The following is a 13,266-nucleotide window of genomic DNA, read 5'->3' as shown; positions in this document are numbered from 1 at the left end:
ACCTGTTGTTTCCTGACCTTTTTATGATCGCCATTGTAACTGGTGTGAGATGGTATCTCATTGTGGTTTTGATTTGCATTTCTCTGATGGCCAGTGATGGTGAGCATTTTTTCATGTGTTTTTTGGCCGCATAAATGTCTTCTTTTGCGAAGTGTCTGTTCATGTCCTTTGCCCACTTTTTGATGGGGTTGTTTGCTTTTTTCTTGTAAATTTGTTTGAGTTCATTGTAGATTCTGGATATTAGCCCTTTGTCAGATGAGTAGGTTGCAAAAATTTTCTCCCATGTTGTAGGTTGCCTGTTCACTCTGATGGTAGTTTCTTTTGCTGTGCAGAAGCTCTTTAGTTTAATTAGATCCCATTTGTCAATTTTGCTTTTGTTGCCATTGCTTTTGGTGTTTTAGACATGAAGTCCTTGCCCATGCCTATGTCCTGAATGGTAATGCCTAGGTTTTCTTCTAGGGTTTTTATGGTTTTGGGTCTAACGTTTAAGTCTTTAATCCATCTTGAATGGACTTTTGTATAAGGTGTAAGGAAGGGATCCAGTTTCAGCTTTCTACATATGGCTAGCCAGTTTTCCCAGCACCATTTATTAAATAGGGAATCCTTTCTCCATTGCTTGTTTTTCTCAGGTTTGTCAAAGATCAGATAGCTGTAGATATGTGGTGTTATTTCTGAGGGCTCTGTTCTGTTCCATTGATCTATATCTCTGTTTTGGTACCAGTACCATGCTGTTTTGGTTACTGTAGCCTTGTAGTATAGTTTGAAGTCAGGTAGTGTGATGCCTCCAGCTTTGTTCTTTTGGCTCAGGATTGACTTGGTGATGCGGGCTCTTTTTTGGTTCCATATGAAGTTTAAAGTAGTTTTTTCCAATTCTGTGAAGAAAGTCATTGGTAGCTTGATGGGGATGGCATTGAATCTGTAAAATACCTTGGATAGTATGGCCATTTTCACGATATTGATTCTTCCTATCCATGAGCATGGAATGTTCTTCCATTTGTTTGTATCCTCTTTTATTTCCTTGAGCAGTGGTTTGTAGTTCTCCTTGAAGAGGTCCTTCACATCCCTTGTAAGTTGGATTCCTAGGTATTTTATTCTCTTTGAAGCAATTGTGAATGGGAGTTCACTCATGATTTGGCTCTCTGTTTGTCTGTTGTTGGTGTATAAGAATGCTTGTGATTTTTGTACATTGATTTTGTATCCTGAGACTTTGCTGAAGTTGCTTATCAGCTTAAGGAGATTTTGGGCTGAGACAATGGGGTTTTCTAGATATACAATCATGTCATCTGCAAACAGGGACAATTTGACTTCCTCTTTTCCTAATTGAATACCCTTTATTTCCTTCTCCTGCCTAATTGCCCTGGCCAGAACTTCCAACACTATGTTGAATAGGAGTGGTGAGAGAGGGCATCCCTGTCTTGTGCCAGTTTTCAAAGGGAATGCTTCCAGTTTTTGCCCATTCAGTATGATATTGGCTGTGGGTCTGTCATAGATAGCTCTTATTATTTTGAGATACATCCCATCAATACCTAATTTATTGAGAGTTTTTAGCATGAAGGGTTGTTGAATTTTGTCAAAGGCCTTTTCTGCATCTATTGAGATAATCATGTGGTTTTTGTCTTTGGTTCTGTTTATATGCTGGATTACATTTATTGATTTGTGTATATTGAACCAGCCTTGCATCCCAGGGATGAAGCCCACTTGATCATGTTGGATAAGCTTTTTGATGTGCTGCTGGATTCGGTTTGCCAGTATTTTATTGAGGATTTTTGCATCAATGTTCATCCAGGATATTGGTCTAAAATTCTCTTTTTTGGTTGTGTCTCTGCCCGGCTTTGGTATCAGGATGATGCTGGCCTCATAAAATGAGTTAGGGAGGTTTCCCTCTTTTTCTATTGATTGGAATAGTTTCAGAAGGAATGGTACCAGTTCCTCCTTGTACCTCTGGTAGAATCGGCTGTGAATCCATCTGGTCCTGGACTCTTTTTCATTGGTAAGCTATTGATTATTGCCACAATTTCAGAGCCTGTTATTGGTCTATTCAGAGATTCAACTTCTTCCTGGTTTAGTCTTGGGAGAGTGTATATGTCAAGGAATTTATCCATTTCTTCTAGATTTTCTAGTTTATTTGCGTAGACGTGTTTGTAGTATTCTCTGATGGTAGTTTGTATTTCTGTGGGATCGGTGGTGATATCCCCTTTATCATTTTTTATTGTGTCTATTTGATTCTTCTGTCTTTTTTTCTTTATTAGTCTTGCTAGTGGTCTATGAATTTTGTTGATCCTTTCAAAAAACCAGATCCTGGATTCGTTAATTTTTTGAAGGGTTTTTTGTGTCTCTATTTCCTTCAGTTCTGCTCTGATCTTAGTTATTTCTTGCCTTCTGCTAGCTTTTGAATGTGTTTGCTCTTGCTTATCTAGTTCTTTTAATTGTGATGTTAGGATGTCAATTTTGGATCTTTCCTGCTTTCTCTTGTGGGCATTTAGTGCTATAAATGTCCCTCTACACACTGCTTTGAATGTGTCCCAGAGATTCTGGTATGTTGTGTCTTTGTTCTTGTTGGTTTCAAAGAACATCTTTATTTCTGCCTTCATTTCATTATGTACCCAGTAGTCATTCAGGAGCAGGTTGTTCAGTTTCCATGTAGTTGAGTGGTTTTGAGTGAGTTTCTTAATCCTGAGTCCTAGTTTGATTGCACTATGGTCTGAGAGACAGTTTGTTATAATTTCTGTTCTTTTACATTTGCTGAGGAGAGCTTTACTTCCAACTATGTGGTCAATTTTGGAATAGGTGTGGTGTGGTGCTGAAAAAAATGTATATTCTGTTGATTTGGGGTGGAGAGTTCTGTAGATGTCTATTAGGTCCGCTTGGTGCAGAGCTGAGTTCAATTCCTGGGTATCCTTGTTGACTTTCTGTCTCATTGATCTGTCTAATGTTGACAGTGGGGTGTTAAAGTCTCCCATTATTAATGTGTGGGAGTCTAAGTCTCTTTGTAGGTCACTCAGGACTTGCTTTATGAATCTGGGTGTTCCTGTATTGGGTGCATATATATTTAGGATAGTTAGCTCTTCTTGTTGAATTGATCCCTTTACCATTAAGTAATGGGCTTCTTTGTGTCTTTTGATCTTTGTTGGTTTAAAGTCTGTTTTATCAGAGACTAGGATTGCAACCCCTGCCTTTTTTTGTTTTCCATTTGCTTGGTAGATCTTCCTCCATCCTTTTATTTTGAGCCTATGTGTGTCTCTGCCCATGAGATGGGTTTCCTGAATATAGCACACTGATGGGTCTTGACTCTTTATCCAATTTGCCAGTCTGTGTCTTTTAATTGGAGCATTTAGTCCATTTACATTTAAAGTTAATATTGTTATGTGTGAATTTGATCCTGTCATTATGATGTTAGCTGGTTATTTTGCTCATTAGTTGATGCAGTTTCTTCGTAGTCTCGATGGTCTTTACAATTTGGCATGATTTTGCAGTGGCTGGTACTGGTTGTTCCTTTCCATGTTTAGCGCTTCCTTCATGGCTCTTTTAGGGCAGGCCTGGTGGTGACAAAATCTCTCAGCATTTGCTTGTCTGTAAAGTATTTTATTTCTCCTTCACTTATGAAGCTTAGTTTGGTTGGATATGAAATTCTGGGTTGAAAATTCTTTTCTTTAAGAATGTTGAATATTGGCCCCCACTCTCTTCTGGCTTGTAGGGTTTCTGCTGAGAGATCTGCTGTTAGTCTGATGGGCTTCGCTTTGAGGGTAACCTGACCTTTCTCTCTGGCTGCCCTTAACATTTTTTCCTTCATTTCAACTTTGGTGAATCTGACAATTATGTGTCTTGGTGTTGCTCTTCTCGAGGAGTATCTTTGTGGCATTCTCTGTATTTCCTGAATCTGAACATTGGCCTGCCTTGCTAGATTGGGGAAGTTCTCCTGGATAATATCCTGCAGAGTGTTTTCCAACTTGGTTCCATTCTTGCCGTCACTTTCAGGTACACCAATCAGACGTAGATTTGGTCTTTTCACATAGTCCCATATTTCTTGGAGGCTTTGCTCATTTCTTTTTATTCTTTTTTCTCTAAACTTCCCTTTTCGCTTCATTTCATTCATTTCATCTTCCATTGCTGATACCCTTCCTTCCAGTTGATCACATCAGCTCCTGAGGCTTCCGCATTCTTCATGTAGTTCTTGAGCCTTGGTTTTCAGCTCCATCAGCTCCTTTAAGCACTTCTCTGTACTGGTTATTCTAGTTATACATTCTTCTAAATTTTTTTCAAAGTTTTCAACTTCTTTGCCTTTGGTTTGAATGTCCTCCCGTAGCTCGGAGTAATTTGATCGTCTGAAGCCTTCTTCTCTCAACTCGTCAAAGTCATTCTCCATCCAGCTTTGTTCCATTGCTGGTGAGGAACTGCGTTCCTTTGGAGGAGGAGAGGCACTCTGCTTTTTAGAGTTTCCAGTTTTTTTCCTCTGTTTTTTTCCCCATCTTTGTGGTTTTATCTACTTTTGGTCTTTGATGATGGTGATGTACAGATGGATTTTTGGTGTGGATGTCCTTTCTGTTTGTTAGTTTTCCTTCTAACAGACAGGACCCTCAGCTGCAGGTCTGTTGGAGTACCGGACCGTGTGAGGTGTCAGTGTGCCCCTGCTGGGGGGTGCCTCCCAGTTAGGCTGCTCGGGGGTCAGGGGTCAGGGACCCACTTGAGGAGGCAGTCTGCCTGTTCTCAGATCTCCAGCTGTGTGCTAGGAGAACCACTGCTCTCTTCAAAGCTGTCAGACAGGGACATTTAAGTCTGCAGAGGTTACTGCTGTCTTTTTGTTTTTCTGTGCCCTGCCCCCAGAGGTGGAGCCTACAGAGGCAGGCAGGCCTCCTTGAGCTGTGGTGGGCTCCACCCAGTTGGAGCTTCCCGGCTGCTTTGTTTACCTAAGCAAGCCTGGGCAATGGCGGGCGCCCCTACCCCAGCCTCGAGGCCGCCTTGCAGTTTGATCTGAGACTGCTCTGCTAGCAATCAGGGAGACTCCGTGGGCATAGGACCCTCCGAGCCATGTGCGGGATATAATCTCCTGGTGCGCCGTTTTTTAAGCCCGTCGGAAAAGCGCAGTATTCGGGTGGGAGTGACCCGATTTTCCAGGTGCCGTCTGTCACCACTTTCTTTGACTAGGAAAGTGAACTCCTTGACCCCTTGCGCTTCCCGAGTGAGGCAATGCCTCGACCTGCTTCGGCTTGTGCATGGTGCGCGCACCCACTGACCTGCACCAACTGTCTGGCACTCCCTAGTGAGATGAACCCGGTACCTCAGATGGAAATGCAGAAATCACCCGGCTTCTGCGCCGCTTATGCTGGGAGCTGTAGACCGGAGCTGTTCCTATTCGGCCATCTTGGCTCCTCCCCACTGCCTTCTTTTGTGTTAGTCTTATTTCCTCAAAAATCAAACTGTTTCTTTTGTTTTAATATCCACAGCTCTGAACAGTGTCTTACACATAACAGGTGCTTTAAGAGCTCTGGGATGAGCAACTTTCTGTATCCCTGATGGAAATGCTTACAGAGTCCATTCTGCTGTCTGCTTCCTTTTGGGTCAAGTGGCGTCCGTCGGGCAGCTGCACATTGGATGATACTTCCTAGAGTGCGTCGGTGTCCTGCTGCTAGGAAAGGTGCCCTGTTGTTTGGAGCTGGGAGAAAACAGCAAGAAATGAGTTCTAAGGATTTTGGTAAGCTTGATTAGGGGAATTGAGTCTAAAATAGATGTTAGGTAAGAGATGTGGTGGTACATGTCAGGGCCAGTGGGTGAGGCCAAACTGAAAGCAGGAGGGGAAAGGGGCAACAAGGCAGGGCAATGCAGGAGGCCATGTGCCCCAGTGAGTCAGCAGACAGTCGTCTAGACAGACCTGGAAATGTGGTCCCTCAGCTCATTGTTAGCTTTGCTTTTGGTTCACATTTGAGTGAGTGTCTGCATCTAGAGAGGCCAGTTCAGGAGCAAAACATCCATTTTCCAGGAAGGGATAAGAGAAAGAGGGGCTAACCTTTAGCTTGAGCTGCTTGGCATCCAGACAAAGGGTCTCACACTAGACAGGTCACAGCTAACCCCCTCTAGTCCTTGCATGACTTTGCAAAATCTCCTGTTTTATTTTGATTACTTCCAAAAGATGGCCATCTAACCTGTTTGTACAAAGAAAAATGAGTATTCAGAACAGGCAACGTCATCCTATGGACAGGGGGTAGCCGTTCAGAACTCTGAAGTGCTTGACGCAGTGCAGTATGCTGTGTTTAGGAAAAATTCGTTTGGTATCTGTTGATGGCACCACCAAATATATGCCTGCTCTAAGTACTCTAACTTTTGTTCATAAAGATGCAGCAAATGCTCTTGAAGGGAAAGAAAGAGCTTTGCACTGATGTTGCTTAGCAACCAATTACTCATTTTGTTTTTCAATTTGTTGTTTTTAAAAATTTCTACTATGTCGTGTTAAATTAATCTGGGGCCAGGTGCGGTGGCTCATGCCTGTAATCCCAGCAGTTTGGGAGGCTGAGGCAGGCAGATGATTTGAGGTCCAGAGCTCAAGACCAGCCTGGCCAATATAGTGAAACTCTTTTTCTACTAAAAATACAAAAATTAGCTGGGCATGGTGGTGCACGCCTGTAATCTCAGCTGCTTGGGAGGCTGAGGCAGGAGAATCACTTGAACCCAGGAGATGGAGCTTGCAGTGAGCTGAGATAGTGCCACTTCACTCCAGCCTGGGTGACAGAGCGAGACTCCGTATTAAAAAAAAAATTAATTAATCTGGGTCTGAGGCACAAGGTTCCTGTTTATTTGATGGCTGCTGTGCACAAATAAAAAGATGGTGGCACTTTTTTGGGGTATTTAACTCCCTAACTGGGTTACAGAGTCTAGGAGCACTTGTCATCAACTTGAGGGAAATGTATAAATTGGGAAACAAGAGACCATCAAGGACAATATCGCACCTCTGTCCTCTCGGCCTCCCTAGTCCTCTGTTGAAAGTTGAACACTGGGGCTTCTTTCCTTCCTGACCATTCCCCTCCTAATTCTGGACTTCAAGGCATGGGTACTGCCTCTTTACCAGTCCACATTTTGTCTGTTTCCGTTTTCAACTGTCTGGTTCCTTTGCTTAAGATTCGGTTTGGTGGAGCCTATCCTGACTCTTCGGTGAGTGATGAAGTATGGCCCTCGACTCGTCAGTCAGGGGATTTGGATTCTAATCCTAGCTCTGCCATTAACTTGCTGACTGAACTTGAGTGAGTTGCTTAGTGTGTTTGTTAGAATAGGCTAAACTATGCTGCAGGAACAAGGACATCTTGAAATCTCTGTGGCTGTGAACCACAAAGACAAAAACCTGATGAGTGCTGGACCATCCTCTAGAGCAGCTGCCTTCCATGGGGTGATCTGGAAATTCAGGTGGCTTTCATGCTGTGGTTACAGCATCTCAACATGGGAGCCACCGAGGGGAAGGAGAGAGAGAGGGACACATTGGCTTGCCACAATTTCAGCCAGGAAGTAGCATGTCACATCTGTTCACAGTGTATGGGCCGGGACGGGTCACATGGCTGTCACCTAACTGTGGAGGCAAGGTGTGGTTAGTGGGAGGACAGGCTGGAAAATGAAGAACATCTCAAATATTTGGGGAACAGCAGCCACCGCTGTCACTCTTGGCATCTTTGAGTTTCAGCCTAGTCATCTGCAAAATGACAGGGTTGGACTAGATAATTCCTAAGGGCCCTTTTATAGCTGTAAAGATCTAGGAGGTATGACTAACCAAACCACCATGATTCCAGATTAAGTATTTAAACTTCTCCTCTAAGCATAGTTCTATTTTTAAGAGGAATAGATTAGCATTATCTTCACCCACTCGCTTTATTGTCCTGAATTGAATAGTCTCACTTCTTTTACCGTAAAACTCTTCCTTTTAAAAAGAAAAATCAGACAAAATAAAGTATTTTTATAGGCTAACCCTCTTTCAAAACAAATTCTTCAGGCTGGGCACCGTGGCTCATGCCTGTAATCCCAGCACTTTGGGAGGCCAAGGTGGGTGGACCACCTGAGGTCAGGAGTTTGAGACCAGCCTGGCCAACATGGCAAAACCCCGTCTCTACTAAAATATACAAACATTAGCCAGGCATGGTGGTGCCAGCCTGTAATCCCAGCTACTCGGGAGGCTGAGGCAGGGAGAATTGTTTGAACCGGGGAGGTGGAGGTTGCAGTAGGTCGAGATTGTGCCACTGCACTCCAGCCTGGGCGACAGAGTGAGACTCTATCTCAAAAACAAAACAACCCCAAATCAACAAATTCTTCAGCTGGAAGGACTTAAGAAAACTCTAGTTATTTATTGTCCTAACTACTTCTTAATCAGATGCTGTAGAAAATGTACAGTATGCAGACACAACTCATTTTTTACCAGTGAAAATAATGATTTGAGTTTGTGTATTACATGATTATAAAGTGATATCTAAATTGGTACTGAATTTCTCAGAGAAGTAAGCAATTTTAAGTGAAGAACAGACACAAGGGAAGTACAATTAAAGTTTACTTCTCTTTTTGAAAGATATGTCCCTGAAAATCTATAAATAAATACTTTTAATTCCATCCTTATCCTTTGAAAAGTGGGACTTCTGGCAGCTTGGCAAATAAATAAAGTTTTATTGGCACACAGCCACACTCATTTATGTGGTGCCAATAACTGTTTTTGTTCTACAAAACTCTCAGGCCCTTTTCAGAAAACATTGTGCAACCCCTGAGTTAGGCAATCTAAATGTTAACCTGGTAGCTTATAGCAGCATTGAGAGTCAGTACAGATGACAACAGTAGTTCTCAAACTTGAGTGAGCATCAGAATGAATAATTTGTTAAGGGCTTGTTCAAGCACAGAGAGTGGGACCCCATCCCCCAGTGTCTGATTCAGTAGGGTCGAGGGTGGGGTCTGATAATTTGCACTTGGACATGTTCCCAGGTGATGTCGATGCTGCTGGTCTGGGGACAATACTTGGAGAAGCACTGGAGTACAGCTGACCCTTAACATGGGTTGGAACTGTGCAGGTCCACCTATATCTGGATTTTCTTCTGCCTCTGCCACTTCTGAGACAGCAAGATCAACTCCTCCTCTTCTTCCTACTCAACATAAGGACGACGAGGATGATGATGTTCCATTTCTACTTAATGAATTGTAAATATAGTTTCTCCTTTGTGATGGTTAATACTGAGTGTCAACTTGATTGGATGGAAGGACGTGAAGTATGTTCCTATGCGTGTCTGTGAGATATTGCCAAAGGAGATTAACATTTGAGTCCGTGGACTGGGAAAGGCAGACCCACCCTTAATCTGGGTGGATGCAATCTAATCGGCTGCCAGTGCAGCAAGAATAAAAGCAGGCACAATAATGTGAAGAGTAGACTAGCCTAGCCTCCCAGCCTACATCTTTCTCCCACGCTGGATGCTTCCTGCCCTTGAACATCAGACTCCAAGTTCTTCAGCTTTGGGACTTGGACTGGCTTCCTTGTTCCTCAGCCTGCAGATGGCCTGTTGTGGAACCTTGTGATAATGTGAGTCAGTATTCCTTAATAAACTCCCCTTTATATATACATTTATCCTATTAGTTCTGTCCCTCTAGAGAACCCCAACTAATACATCCTTCTTATGATTTTCTTAATAACATTTTCTTTCCTCTGGCTTTATTGTAAGAATACAGTATATAATTCATATAGCACACAAAATATACGTTCATTGACAGTTTGTGTTATCAGTAAGGCTTCTGGCCAACAGTAGGCTATTAATAGTTAAGTTTTTGAAGGGGTCAAAAGTTATACGTGGACTTTTGACTGCATAGAGGTTGGTGCCCCTAACCCCTGTGTTGTTCAAGGGTCAGCTGCAGCAAAAGCATCAATTAAGAGAGAAACTTAAAGCTCTACTCCTGCCTCTTTTTCGATTTTCTAGCTGAGTAATCTTGAGCAAAGATTCAGTTTCTTCCCATGCAAAATGAGGAGACTGGCCTAAAGTAGGCCTTTTCAACTACTGTCTCCTGACAGCCCTCGGGGAGCTGATCTGGGCCTTGAGCCGATAGCCTTCTACCCTAAGCAACCTCCTTCATTTATCTCAGCGTGCCTTATAAATATTGTCATTTTCTATGTGTGTATGACCCAAAAAGGACTGGGAAATGTTGCACCTGAAAACTGCTGAGGCCCTTTTAGCTCTAAATTATTATAGGTTTACAAGTTTTGATAAACGCCTCCATCTCAATTATACTCATCATCGCCTGCTGGCTATGGCTGTTAACTTACATCACGCATATGTGGTGCTTGCATGTCTTTCTTATAAATCACATTCTTTGGATGTTTTCCTACCTCATTGATTACTTTTTCTCAGATTGAGATGGGTTGCCTGATAGCCTCCCTAAAGCACATGGACTTGGTGTTCATTTAGTCATTCAACACTCGGCACTTCCCGATGCTGGAGGCTGCATGGGATTTATCCCTTCTTCCCTTTAATAACACTGTATTATCCAACAGTCATGCGGCTGTATTACCTTCTCCACCTGCTCCTGCTCTTCTCTGCTCCAACAGAGAGAAAAATTAGAGGCAGCTGTAAAGAGACAAGACATCCTCTTTTCCTCTATTCATAGTTTTTCCTGATGTGTCGGAACTTAATAAATGTTGATTAAATGAAAGAATAACAGATGGCACAGTGTGGTGTATGTAGGACAATAAATAATCAAGTGCAACTACTCACGATTGCCTACAATGCAGGTGCTGTCTCACTTGCTCTCTGTATATATGTGTGAATATATGCACACATACACATATATACATATGTACTCACGTAAACATATTTTGTTGAAGTCATTGCCATGCTGAATTGAATTCATGGTTATTCCCATGCAATTCAATATGTATCGAATACCTACTAAGCTCAAGTTGGTGCAAGATGTTATATAAAGGAAACTTAGATACAGCTATTATTCTCAGTGAGCTTACAGTTTTGCTCTATAATTATTCTTTGGAAAACCAACTGAGAGAGGAGGTGGGTGAAAACTCTTTACTGAGAGACCATCTTTTGTTGTAGAATTGGTTTATAGTCTTTTTGTCTAGTGCCTCCAAATGATATCAAAATGGAAATAATGTGGAACATGGTGAGCATGAGTCATCGTCTAGTGAAGTGGGCACTGTGAATTCCAGAGGCAGCACAGCTAGAACAAAATTTATGAAAGTCAAGGTTGGAAGGAAGCCTGCCTCCAGAATAAGCTGAATGATCAAAAGTACATGGTGTACCTTTCTGCATTGAATAGCTCTGTTTTTTCTGTCTATATGTTTTTCTTTTTTTTCTATCTATATGGCTTTCTAACTTTTGGCCTTTCGGCTTCACTTCTGTAGGGATTTGTGCATTTGCTGTCTGGGACCAAATGATTTGCTACCCAACATCAACCAGACGTGATTGGCATCAAATAATTGATTTGACAAATATTTACCAAATGCTTAGTATATGATAGAGGCAGATGTAGCTACAGAGATGAATAAGGTATAGTTCCCATCCTCAGGCTGGTGGAAGAGAAAACATCATTAGCACCATGACAAGATAAATTCTGAGCAAAGGTAGAAGAAGCAGCTAACTACCTGGGCAGCCGAGGAAATCTTCACAGGGAAAAACACAGTTCAGAGTTGGCATCTGAGGGTTTTAAAGATTTTATTGTCCATTAAAATGGCCTCCAACATAATATTAGTGAATTTTTGGATTAAAATCAAAGCCCGGTAAATAGGATGCAGAACAGAAGTTGCTGTTTACTGATATGACTACATTTAAAGGGGGTTGATGTGTTTAATGTGAAAGGAATGTGTTGTTGAGTACCTGCCTGAGTGTGAATGTGCCAGGATGGGTCTGAAGCAGTGCGTGGGAATGGAAGTGGGGAGACAGAATTGCTTTGCACAGTAGAGGGAGAAGAGTTGAGAGCCAGAGGAAGTAATGGGAAAGAGCCGTAAGAGGGATAAGAGGAAGTGAGAAGCCAGTTAGAGAATGGAGAGTGGGCTAAAGTGGCCTCAAGTGGCGAGTGGAAAGACTCCTTACTACTTGAGTGGTCTGAAATGTCAGGCATGGTTGTTTGTTTAATGAATGTAAGGCATCGTTGTTTAATATTCTATTTGAAGTTGCCTGCATTGTTGAGATGTAACCTGGGTCTTCCCAGAGCTTCATTAAACCTAACACACACACACACACACACACACACGCACACACACACACACACAAGTGCTTTGTGTGGGTGATAATTTTGTTGAAAACTAAGAGCTGCATTCTATGGCTGGATCTTTGTGCTGCAGCAGACAGAGCATGAGCAAGTGGTTAAGAAGTTTCAAAATGGAGCTGATTCACAAGTGAAGGGTCCTCAGACAAAGGTGGATACCAGAATGTGAGCTTCCCTGGAATTTGCTAAAACCTTGGCAGGAGATTTAAACTTTAACCTGGAATGAAGGTTCACAGCAATTTTATCCAGATATTGGTGGGGGGAAGTGGTTCTTACAGCCAATATCCAGAATTTAACTAGAAATAAAGAATTTGTCACACAGTTCCACCTATTCCATGCTGGTGCCTTGTGTAAATAATAATTACGTATGTGAAATATATAGGATAAAATGAAAACCGTGACACAAATGGCAGATTTTCTCACACTGAGATACCAAATTGTTTTGGAACACACAATTAGTTTTTTGGTAGCATTTTTTGCTTTATTCTGCTCGTGCATATTTTGGAATGAGGTGAGTAAATAAATGAATGAACAAACAAATAAGAACATTTACAAATTAGCTTCTTTTTGAAACATTTACTTTGGCAGTGTTGGTTAATTGTATGGTTTGTAATGTGAATTTATCTGATCCTTGGCCAATCACACTAATTTTGTCACACATGATTTATTGTAGCTTTAGATTCGTAAATATCTTTCACATTTGAAATTGCTGTGTTTGGCAATGAGCTGCTTAAGCATAAATTAGGAATTTGTTTCTATCAACTCGATCGAGTGCTGGAGGAGGTCCTATATTTTATCTTTTGAAAAATAACACAATGTTTTTCTCTAGGGGTTTAATATGAATCTTTCAACAGGATATTCATTGAAGGCCTACTACGTGCAAAGAACCATTCTAGAGACTGAGGGAGGAGCAGAAGTGCTGATTCTGTTTCTGAGGTGGTAAACGTGCCCAATAAATGATAATTAATAACAAAAGGCCGTAAATGTTAAGAGTCAAATGAATCATAGATCACTAAGTACTTATAGATCTCAGGGGAGACATTGAACTAGAGT

The 13,266-nt window shown here is 41.8% G+C and overlaps 1 annotated feature.

Annotated features, from left to right (window-relative positions):
- Positions 4,964 to 6,163: an enhancer, noted in NCBI's record as "MED14-independent group 3 enhancer chr13:98381876-98383075 (GRCh37/hg19 assembly coordinates)". NCBI's record gives its function as "activates an origin of replication core promoter dependent on BRD2, BRD4, P300/CBP and CDK7 cofactors, and independent of MED14, by STARR-seq in HCT116 cells {active_cell/tissue: HCT116}" and the evidence as "EXISTENCE:reporter gene assay evidence [ECO:0000049][PMID:35650434]".

Source organism: Homo sapiens, chromosome 13 (assembly GCF_000001405.40).
Source record: "Homo sapiens chromosome 13, GRCh38.p14 Primary Assembly".
NCBI lineage: Eukaryota > Metazoa > Chordata > Mammalia > Primates > Hominidae > Homo > Homo sapiens.
This window is presented reverse-complemented; position numbering and strand designations above follow the sequence as displayed.